Source organism: Homo sapiens, chromosome 2, assembly GCF_000001405.40.
Source record: "Homo sapiens chromosome 2, GRCh38.p14 Primary Assembly".
Lineage (NCBI taxonomy): Eukaryota > Metazoa > Chordata > Mammalia > Primates > Hominidae > Homo > Homo sapiens.
Window position 1 is genome coordinate 122,745,193 of NC_000002.12, and position 12,936 is coordinate 122,758,128.

Here is a 12,936-nt window from a genome sequence, read left to right on the forward strand (position 1 = left end):
GGTTTCTGTATAATATTTAATGAGATAAATGCCTCCCTCCCTGTAGTGTGGGTTACTCAGCATTTGCCTTGCATTTTTATTCTCCAGCTTATTCTCTTCTGTGTCCAGAAGGCTGATTTCCATAGGGGGCATCAACTGCATTCCCTCCCCAGTTTCAATTTTGCTAGTAAAAAGCATCAGAGGGAGATCAGAGGATGAAAAGTAGAAAGATTAGAGCATTTATTCCTCCCACCCCACCCCAGCTTGAGTTCAGGTCTGACAGTGTCTGCAGCACTGGCACTATGGCCCTGAGGGCCACCTTTTTCCATGTCCAGCTCTTAACTAAGCTCCAGTAACACCAATGCCTCCATTTGTTCCACCAGGCCTAGGAGTGGCAAAGGCTCTTCACCCTTGCTAGTCCCTAGGTGTCTACATATCCCTTGTAGGTTGTTACCTCTTACCACGCCTTGGTAAACACTCCCCTCATTAAGAAGCTTCTTTGAAAAATTCCAACTAACTGAGCATGCCATGTGTTTTAGGCTGGGGTCCTGACACATACAAATTTGTGTATCTAATTTTAAAAGCTTATTTCACCTCCTGCTCTTGCATGCAATTATAGCGCATAATCTTGTGGTTAGAGATAAGCAAACACGCTGAAACTAAAATGCAAATGCACCCTGGAATACTGTAACTTAAAAGCTGCCACCAAAATAATTCTACAGCAGACAAGTCCATCCTGCACTTAGGAGATGAGTCTACGTATGCACACAGGTGCTTTTCTTAGCAAGAACTTCTTCTTATGTGGGTAACTCTAGGCCTTCTCTCTGGTGTGGAGTCTCTGTCTTGTTTGGTGGTCCTGATCGTTTCACTTATCATACCTCCTGCTGAACCTTTCCAGGCAAGGCAGTGATTCAGGAAAGACCGCTGACAGTGTAGAAAGTACACGGTTTTGTTTCTGCTGGCCAGCTAGCGGGGAATCCTGGTATTCAGAAGGGGAATCAATTCTTTCTTTTTGATTTAGGGATATGTTTGGCAGTTATTAATTAACATGTGTGAGAGATCCTGAGAATTTCAAACATTTATTTTTTAAAGGAGTCTAAGTTTAAACTTAACTTCATTATATAAAACTTCCTTCTCCTTCCTCAACCTCACTTCTTTGAATTATTTTACTTTAGAAATGGCAAGTTTTCTCAAAGATTAATGCAAAGCTCATGTCAAAATAGAGCTCTCTCTCTCTCAATTTTATTTCTACTATTTTAACTATTTCATCTATTTATTTATTTTTTTATAGTTTTCGTGGTCCATTAGTTCCATGATTTAATTTACTATTTTACTTTAAAAGATTTTCCCTTGCCAGTCAAGTAGTATTCCATAGAATACATGAGAGAATACATTTTTGAAGAAAACTGGTAAACAACCAATTAAAACTCTTTATGGATTTTCTTCCACATATAAATTACTATTCTATACATGAAATAATAAAAATAAGCTTTGGAATGAAAGTATATAAAAATGTCAATAGAAATTCTAAGTATGGGGTAATCAGCCTTGAGGTAATTGATAGTTGCCTATACTTACATGATTTGTAATCTGTCAATCATTTATTCAACAAATATTTTCCACAGCTCCTATACACAAAGCATTTTAAGGGTAGTATTAAAAACAAAGTACTTTCCCTTCCCTAAAAATCTTTATAATTTATTTCAGAAGAAGAGAAAGGTACTTTTTTTTTGGCAGACGGGGACAGAGTCTCTCTGTGTTGTCTAGGCTGGAGTGCAGTGGTACAACCTCAGCTCACTGCAACCTCTGCCTCCCAGGTTCAAGCAATTCTCCTGCCTCAGCCTCCTGAGTAGCTCGCACTACAGGTGCCCACCACTACGCCTGGCTAATTTTTGTATTTTTAGTAGAGACGGGGTTTCACCGTATTTGCCAGGCTGGTCTCGAACTCCTGACCTCAGGTGATCTGCCTGACTCAGCTTCCCAAAATGCTGGGATTACAGGTATGAGCCACCTTGCCCAGCCTCGAAGAAAGGTACTTTTTAAGGAAGTGCAACGATAGTGGCAAATAAGAGTTCCAAGCAGAATGAAGCCTCTTCCTGGTAGTGGGAACTGGGGCTTCTGGTCTCAGCCATTGATCAATTATCACTGACAGGAACCATGAGACCTGTGCAAATGAATGACTGTGTACAGTTCTAGTCATTGATCTGATCCTCAAAAAAAGATGTGATAAATGTGGATTAATTGAATAAGGGATTGTGTGTGTGTATGAGTATGTGTGTGTGGAAGGGAGTGTAAAGTATGCAACTACTTTGCTATTTGAAGATAGATTAAAATCACCTCCATCTCTTCCTTCAGCATAGAAAGACAAAACGTGGGAGAAGTGTGAATGCAAGTCTATTCACCAGTTTCTAGGATTTGCTCTCCGGGTTTGGTGGGTTAGGATGGGGATCAAAATTTCAAAGAAATATTGCACAGCCAAGAAAATAAAAGTCTAGTATACCTATTCAGTTGCTAGGCAGTTACTAATAGGTTGTTGATAATTCAACTACTGGTACGCTTAGGTAGGCTGAAATGCAATTAATTTGAAGAATTACGCAGAAAAAATCCTGGATGAGAGACCTAGAAGTGATTAAGGAAATAAGAGTGGCTCAGGCACTTCTCTAACCATTCATCAACTGTGTAATGGAACACAAGCAATGCTTTTCCTCAACCTTTAACAGAGTGGACTGCTGGGAAGATGCATTATGACACAGATCCAGGAAAGCATCATCTCTGAGTCTTTCTGCCTCTTTGTGTTGGTTGGGAGAGGCTAAAAGAGGTTTCTGAAGAGGAATGACCAGTGTTAGAAGAAGTGTAGCATGTGTGCTACCATTTCAGGGCATTATAGCAGAGAACTCAGAAAGGCCAGAATCTTGTACCAAACTGTAACCACCTCTTTTCCAGGTGAGACAGCCAGCAAAGAAAGACACATGAAGCAAATGGAGCCACACGTGATGATCATACTGATCTCTGCTAAATCAAGCTACAGCACACAGGAGTCCCAAAGCTTGCTGGGCCTTCTCTCACCTGCATGTTCACTCTTATTAAATTATGATGAGCCCTCTGACAAACTGTCATATTTGAAGGACCTTTTACCAGAGAAGAGGAGGGGGAGGAAGAGAGAAATCAAAAAAGATAAGCAAAAGGGCTGGGCTTGCTGTGTGATCACAGATAAAATACCAAACAGTTAAATAATGCTGGAGGGTGACCTCTTATGTGACCCAATCAGAGATTTGACATTTATCTCCTGAATGTGACATCCCATCTCATCAAGGATTTGGGACAGTGGGGATGAGGAGACACGTTCTCTCTCCCTTTCCTTGCTCAGCCTTGTTCTCTCTGTTTACTCTTTGGGCTTCAGTGCACTTTTGTGGCCAAGCCCAGTTTGTGGCCTGCCCCTTGCATGGCCATCTCTGCAGTATCAGTGAAAACTCAACAGCCCCTCTGTGTGGCCACACTTTTTTTCTTTTCTAAAAACAATGAGATACTTATATCCACCCCATGCAAATTCCTCCAGGATATTGCTCTTGAGTCATCCTTGAGAAATTTCCGTCTTGAAACATGTCTATCTCCATGTTGGGAAATTTAATTAGTACTCCTATTGTAGGGATTAGGGAAAGCACAACTACACTTTTCATCAGCTTCAATGATTTCACCAAAGGGCATTTATTTACTTAGTTATACCAGCTGTTTGTTCACCAGATACCGTCTCCTTTGACCCTATGTGCACACAAACCCACGCACAGCGGATGTTGACTATGAGAACTGATAATATCACACCCATTTTAGATACATCATTGAGGCAAAAAGGGACATTTATGGGAGATATTTTTCTTTTTGTTGTGGAAATTCTGACAATCTCATTTTATTTTCTCATTCAAATTATTAAATGATTCTCTCTCTCTCTCTCTCTGCTTACATAGGGGTCATCATTTGTTCTTTTAATCCATTTCAAGAGCATGTCCCCTTTTGCCGTATTCAGGGATGATTGCCCCCTACCTGAACCCCATCTTGCTCCAACAAACAAGTCATATAATCAGAGATCGCACTCTTAGTCAAAAGTCTGACCAGTTAAAGAATTAATTGCCTGCGCCAGGGAGTATGGAAAGCAAAAAAGAAACTCTGTTATGATTTCTATAGATGGAAGGAGAAATGCACTATTTGAATGATAGAGTTTAATTGTCATTATCTAGAAAAGATACTTCATTTAAACTTCTCCTTTACTTAAAATAAACACCTCAATGCTCACATTCCTGCCTGGAACATTTTTAGCAATAACTGCTGGTTGTCAATGACAACAATCATATTTAATTGTTCATCCTGACATGCTCCAGCACTCTATTAAGCACAGATTACTATAGATTGAATAAATGAATAGCAAAGATGCTGGCCAAGAGCTCTGAACGTATCAGTGGAAATAATGAATTGCATCATCCTTCCATGAAAATGCAGGAAGGGCCAACACAGGTCAAGAGCTTGTTAGAGTTTCAGGTTGTCCATTTTGACTGAATTAAAAAGAAAGCAAGTTTATTATGGATTATACATGTAAGCAGGGAGAGGATGAAGGTCAAATTTCTTGATTAGGTATTATTTAGCTATTTTACCATATCTCAAAGTTATAATTCAGAAATGAAATGAAGTGTATCTTGTTTCTTATATGAATTTTTAAAAGGTACACAGTAGATAGTCTTACTGAATTTTAGTTTAATTGCACTTTCATCTCAATATTATTATTTTATCAAGCCAGATAAGTAAATAATATCCTTTCATCAGGTATCAGAGCACAGTTGTAATATAAATGGGATTAGCATAATGAATGCCTTTGGAGAAAATTATAAAATGTCCTTTCATGCACATACAGTTTTATAAACATGACTTTCCTTTGTTTTAATTCAATCTCTGATGGAAATGCACAAATTTTAAAATTCTGGGAAGAACAAACTTATCTGATCATTTTTAAGTAATTGATAGATCACAGTAGAATTATGTTTTTCTTTTAAGTGATGAGGATAGAAAATTTGAGTTGTTTAATTAGACATGTGACTGAACCCAGACGTAAGGGGATCACTTTGGTGCCCTGGAAAGTACTTTGTACTGAATGGGGAAGTCCAGATATCATATTCTGGTGTTGGGCTAAATACTAATTACAAAACCATCAGACAAAATTATTGTTATTATTATTTTGCAGCAAGTGACTGTTAACATTGAATGTGTGTTATCAACTTAAAAGTCTATTCTTTCTTGAAAATATGTGTCATAAATATTTTCTCCTCAAAGAATAAACACACCTTTTATAAATGAGTTGATTTATTACTGAACTATCTATTTATGACAGCATGCTTCTTCCATTTATCCAATAATTATTTGGTTAACAATCACATTTCATAGGCTTAATGTTTTATAATTGTTTTGGTAAACCTCCTGAATATCTCTATGTGTACAGAAAGCAGGGAATGGGCATTTTAAGGGGCTGAGATTTGCAAACTGTCCTTTAGAAAATTTGTAACAATGTACCCAGCCCAATAATAAACAAGAATGTCTTTCCATTGACTATACCAAATTTCTACTTTCCTTTAAAGTTTGGCAAAATTATAAGAAATATTAAATTATTATTATTTATTTATCATTTGTTGTACTGATAAATAACCAATCCATCCAATAACAAATAATTTATCCAAATTATAAAATATTAATTATTATTTATCATTTATTAATAAATTATTTATTCAATAATAAATAACTCATCCATGTTATATATCATGTGTTATTTATTTTAATAATGAATAATAAATAATATTTAGTATTTATTATTTGATTATTTAATTTTTAAATAAATGAGTTTGCATTTTTAAATATATTTATTGACAATTTGTCAAGTTCTCTTGCTAATTTCCTTGCCTTCTTATTCCTAGTTAGACTTGCATGCTATTTGTGTTGCAAATATTTCTCAGTTGGTCAATTTTCCTTTCTTTTTATTATAGTCAATGCAAACTTACTACAAAAGTAGTAATTTTAAGGTTTCTCTGGCACCAGAATAAATGCATGCTAACCAATAATAAATGATACAGTATAATTTTAAAGTCCACACATTGTGTGGGAGCCAAATGGAACACTGTCTTCACAATGTGGGGCACAGTCTTTGTGAGGACAACTCCTCTATGCCCAGCTTCAATTATGTAGATTTTTGAGAGTGTCAGAAGTCTGAAGTAGGATCAGTGGATAGGATTCTATGGTCTTATTATTATTTTAATTATCTGGTGTTCCAAAAAGTGTTTCCTGAAAGTTAAACAATGAGAGTTGGTTTCCTTCCACTTTACTAAGTGGTGTTTTATTTTTTCCTTCTTAGACTATATGTATGATCTGTAATTATGCATGAGGTCAAATTGATGAGGGCTAGCCAAATATGCTAAAATGTCAGTCTGAGAATTTTAAGTGTAACTCTAGCAGAAAATAAGAGCAAACTTGTCCTACTAATACTGACTACCCTGGAGGACACCTGTACTTTAATGTCTAATGAATTGTTTTTCATTGAGTCAATTTTTTTTACATCAATGTTCATTGAATATTTATTCTGCATCAAACCCTGTATTCAGCCCTGGTTGGTTAAAGATTATCTATTTACTTATCTTCTATGTATCTATCTATCTATCTATTATCTATCTGTCTGTCTATCTATCTATCTATCTATCTATCTATCTATCTATCATCTATCTATTCACCTATCATCTATCTATCCATTTATCTATAACCATCTATCTATCTATATCTGTCTATGTCTATCCATCTGTCATCTATCTATCTATCATCTATCTATTGTCTCTATTCATTATTCATCTATCTACCCTATCTATCTATCTATTAGCTACATATTTAGCTAGCTGGCATCTATCTATATGTCTCTATCATCTATCTTGATATAGATATACAGATAGAGATACAGTTTTTTCCTCAGGAAAGTCAGTGTTAAATAAGGCTCTCAACTGAGCATAAGGATGAGGACAGGTAAACGATAGGGGAATCTAATTCAAATGAGTAGTTCAGGGAAGGCTTCTTCAGGAAGGGGATCATTAACACTAAAACTTGAAGGGCACATGCACTTATGTGTTATGTGGATAAATTACCAGGGGAAGTACTGGAGAGAACTAGAGAGAAAGAAGCAAGATTCAACATGGTTTTTTAAAAAAGCGTGATGTTAAAAAAAAAAATTTACAGGAAATTACCCTAAGTCAGTCAGTGTTTCTTAAGGCTGAGCATTAAGAGAAATAATTCTTGGGGATGTTAAAAGCTCAGATGTGTGGGAACTATCTTAGGCCTGTTGAAAAGAAACTTAATGAGGCCACAACAGGTCTGAAGCAGTGGCAATCTTGAAAAAAAACACAGAAAAAGACAGAGACTGAAGACCAATGCAAGCAATTCTAATTCCAGACCCAAAGAAATGAGATAATAATTATAATTTCTAAATAAAGTCAACTTTCTACTAATGTACAGAAAGAGAAACCCAGGGCAATATTTAAAGTGAAGAAATGAAAAAAAGATAACATATCTGTAAAACTGTGCATCTATAACTTAATTTTGTAAGAATAAATACTGCTTTTACTAGTAACTTAAAGAAAAAGGTTGTGATTTAGACAAATAATAAGGAAGAAGTAAATTGAATTCAGTTAGTGACCGATTAGAAATATCAAGTTTCTTGACTCAAACACCCTATTTATTTTTCTAAGTTAGAGTAAGGCTTAGAAAACAGCAAGTATGGTCTTAAAAATTATTAGCAAAACTCAGAAGTTCTCCCTCAAATCAGGAATTCCTCTCTCTCTTTCTTACTCACATGCATGCACACACACGAGCAGATTCTAATCACAGTGAAAAATACCAAGATCGATAAATATGCTATTCAGATATAAGAAACTTTAATATTTTATAATATTTGCCCTATATTTTTAAAGGAATAATAGGGTTATAGTTAAAACCTGTTTTGCATTACCATCTCAGTCTTACTTCTTTCACTTCTTCCCTTTGCAAAAAATGTCATTTTACTGAACATTAAATATTTAGATCTAGGTCATTTCCTTTAAATGCTGTCTGAACATTTACGTATGAATGTATTACAATTTATATACCCATTCCTCTAATAATAGAAATTTAATATTATTCCCAGTTTTCGATATTACAAAACATTGCAATAAATATCAATATTTGTATCTCTTTGTGGAGGTTATCAAAGTTCCCCTTTAGCGTTCCTATTTAGAAATGGGAGTTCTAAGTTGCAACAGATACTGGTGTTACTAAATCTCATCCTTTTCCTCTATTTTTTAGTTCATGTTTCTGCCCCCACTTGTACCTAATCACACTCACCAAAAGGGTGGTAGGTGTGGCTGGGTTTCTTGCCTGTCACTGTGTGATGGTTTGAAGCAGCTAATCCTTTCAAAAGCTAAATGGAATGCAAAGACTTAGCCCTATTTTAGAGATAAAGAAGGCTAAGTTAGAACACACCAAGTATGTTTTTTAGATATCATCAAGCAAATGGAATATCCATTATTGTAACTGAAAAGTCTGGGCTGTTTCAACTGAGTTCAAAAGCCACAGTAAAACATCAATTTAGAAGCAAGCTGTTAGAGAAAATATGCCTGTGAATGTGTATGTCTGTGTGTGTTTGTGTATAAAAATATATGATGTAGCTTATAACACAAATAAGTCAGCCTCCTACCCACTACACATGTGTGCACGTGTACACACAGACACACAGAAAAACATGCATTGTATCAGGGCTATTTGCAGACCACCTATAATATTGGATTATAAATTACTGCCTTTAATAACATAGTTTTGCCGGCAGCTTGGTAGGAAGTCCCCAGTAAGAATTAATTTGAAGGATATAGTTGCAACGTCTTTCTACTTTCCAAATATTTCCCTTGTATACTTCAACAGTGCCTGGTATTTCAACATTAGTGATTTATTCACTTGTTTTCAGGCACTGAAATCTCCAAAGGTCCTACTTTCAAAATAAAATTTTAAAATTTATAGAAGAAATGTATTATGCCACTAAGATCAGAATGATTGAATAGATCTAAAGCATTTATAACCATTTCCCTTTCAGGGGTGTCCAAGGGAGATAATAGAGTCATAGATTCTTAGTTCTGTTTCTGGTTGGGCCAGCGAAATACCTTCCTCATCCCTTTTCTGCTTGTCACTAGAGACAGAAACTAAAAGCCATGGCTCAGGCTGCCAAAAGCTTAAAACAAAACAACAATAACAATAAAATAAGGCAGGTTGGACAAGCTTGTGGGATGGTGAGGGTGTAACAAGTCCTGGAGAAGGTATGTTCCAATAGACAGCAGGCAAGAGTAGATGGGAGAGGGCTTCCCACAGTGGCTCACCTAGAACACATCTCTAAATGTCTTCTTTAAACACCATTTCCTTTCCCCAGCATAGCTGATAAACTCTCTCTATATTCTCACCCATCGAGGCCTCTTTTTATCACACTTCATTTCCTTCCTTATTCTAACTCTCTGTGCCCTCAGGTTCTGAGCTACTCCTGCCATGGGCAGCCCCTCCACACCCTCAACCTCAACAAGGCTCATGTGATTCTCTCTTCATTCCAGGGCAATATTTCTCAATCTTGGCATGATTGCCAGTTTGAGCAGATTAATTCTTTGTTGTAGAGGCAATCTTGCGCATTATAGGATGCTTGCTAGCATCCTTGGCCTCTAGTAATTAGATGTCAGTAGGATCTCCCCAGTTGTGACAACCAAAAATGTCCCTAGACATGGTCAAATGTGCCCTGGGGGACAAACAATTGAGAACCACTTTTCTGGATATAATCTCTATCTCATTACACTGGTAATTGCAATGCAGAGTAGTGTCAAACATAAATAATGAGATTCAGAAACTATGTGAAGTATAGTGTTTATCTGAGTGCAAAGCTTGAAGATGACCACCTGGAAAACACATACTCTAAAACAATGGGTCTTCGTTCCTAAGTGGATAAGTCAAGGTTTCATTTATATAGGGAGAGTTGCAACATTTTCCATACAAGGTCAGTGCATAGGTTATGGCAACTTGATAAGTTACAGATTGCCATAATAAAAGGAAGATTGCCTTGACATTCCATGAGGAGGGGTGATGATCTGAGTGGGGTCTTATCTCTGCTGCCACAAGGCCTTTCTTAATCATTTATAGGAAGGGGAAGAAGTTCCAGCTGCACACTATGTGACTCATGCCACATAGCCAGAATCCTCTCTGGGTTCAAAATGCCTTAAAGTTCCAACAGTTTCAAGTTTGAATTATTTAATTTTACAGTAGAAAAAGATGTCAGGAAGAGTACTGAGAAAGTATCTAACCCAGAATAAAGAGTTCGGAGAGGGATCCCTAAAGGATGTCAGAAATGTCAACGCATATGGTTGGGAAAGAGTTTTCTAGGTTGAGATACATCACATACGGAAGCCTGCTGATAAATGATAATGAAACATCAGGGGAAATATTAAGTAATTCAGAGTACCAGCAGGGAAGTGGTGAAATACTGCTGGAGGAGGTGGGTGAAAGGAACAGGATGAAGAGTGTTGTGTACTAAGATGAGTTTGACCTTCTCCTGAGGTCAAGAGGGGACCACCGAAGCATTTTAAACACACAAATAGTTTCATTTTAGTAAAGTTCTTCTGGTAGCCTGTGGAAATCAAAGTCAACAAACATAGAGACTATTAGGAGACTATTATACATCTTAGATAACATTCGTGTAATGTTTAGGGCAATGTGGTCATTGACTAGGTCAACTAGGTAAATCTTAGTGTCATCCTCTTTCTACATCATAATTTCAACAAAGCCATGGCTGTTGGCGATTCAAAAAGGAAATATCATTGTCACATAGTGAGTCCGGAAAGAAGGTAAAACATGCTCATGAGCTCTTACTCATATTTTTCATTGTATTTTTTTAGAATTTAATTTTTACTTATTATTTTCTCAATCTATAAAATTTGAAATTCTCACAAGCCTTAGCATGTAAACTCTGTTACTGTCTTCACACCTTTGGGAGATCTCATCCAGTCTCAGGGCCATAAATATAACCTATATTTTGTTAACTTTAATTTACATCTCTAGCTTGAATTCCCCCACTTAATTCCCAAAAACAACTCAACATATCAACTTAGATGCTTAATAGGGACCCCTCACAATCTATCAGTAAATTCTGAAAGCACTATAATTAATAGACATATACCTATACCTAACTCTCTCTCTCTCTCTCTCACACACACACAAATGGTTAGTTTCCAACATTATTTCTTCTTACTTTTTCTCTAAAACTGGTTACAGTGTGAGTTTCCATTTTATAATCAATCTTTACTCAGCTAACACTAGCTATTGCGCTTTATAGTTAAACATTAGACTGGCCGTTATGGCTTACTATTATGAGAATCAATGTTTTATTTGACACTTTGTGCCTCAAAGCTGCTTATTATTAAATTGTGGCAGCACTATTACTTCCCAAATGTGTTGGCCTCAACCTAATCCCCAAATCCTTGTAGGCACATGTCCATGGGCATGTTATTAACTGAAAGTACTTACTCACACAGCCTTACCAACTTTAAAAAAACAAGGAAAATCTGAAGGAAAAAAAAGTCATGTAATATTAATAGCACATATTGTATTATAAATTATTCTGTAACAAATAAGCAAATGTAAAAATGATGCTGTATTCACCCCCCAACTTAATCTTGTGTAGTGGCATACTGTGAAATAGCATATCTCATTTCCCAGTCTAATGAGTTATTGTAAATACTGTTTGGTCAAAATTACATGTGTATAAAACCTTAGGTCTCGTGTTTCTTGATATTTCTGTGTTTGAAGTCTGTGGTAACTTGTCATGGCAGCCTGAACTGACTAAGAGAGGACCCATTCTGATGCTATCAAATATTAACAAATAATTGAGATCCTGCTCCACTGAAGACTTCTTTGTCCTCAATTGTAGATGGAGGGAATGGGCTGTTAATAGAAATGATTGTAAGAAAGTCCAAAGTGGTTTGGTATGGTACATTTAATAATTTAAATCTGATTATGCTATTTTCCCTTTTGGTTTAACATGTATCAAACAAACAAAAAGTCATGTCCTGGTCATATGGTGCCTTAGATTTAGGGAAAAAAATAAAAATAGAAAATAAAAGAGAGGAAAAGAGATACCTCAATCCTTTCATCCCACTGTGCTTAACTGAAAGAACTGCATTTGATAACTTTACTTTGCTATCGTTTAGGAGACTCTCCTTAATTTGATTCTGTTCAACTTATCCAGATGCTATTTAACACATGTCTTCTGTAGAAGCTGTCTTACTTCCCACACTCCCTCCCACTTTTATACATTAGTCAAACCATTACCTCATCCCTGAAATGACCTCTCTCCCTGAATGCCTAAGTTTACCTACTCCTCAAGACCTCCTCCTATTTTATTTATATTATGCTTTTACTTTTTAATTCATGATGTTCAGTGTGAAAAAGTTGTAAGATTAAAAACATTAATTTCCATTTTAAGGAATTTATAGTATTCTAATCGGTAAAACACTTTCAATACAAACTGATATATTATACAAACAATAATATAGCCTTATACATGTATACTATTAGTATTCTAATTGGTTAAGCACACTTTCAATATAAACTAATGTATTAACATAGCTTATACATGTAATATATATATAAAATGTATAAGGCTATGTTATAATTATTAATACTATATTAAATGTATTAAGCAAACATAAAATAGCCTTATATGAGTAAAAAGTAGAAGCGTCTGGAGGGAATAGGTGAAATTCAGAGAGGAATGTTTAACAATTTTGTAGAATGGGAAATTAGGAGATTGGGAGGAGAAGTTCAGGAAGAATTCACATAACTGCAATGATCCTCCCTTCTGATACTCTTATCTGCCCTATCATTTGT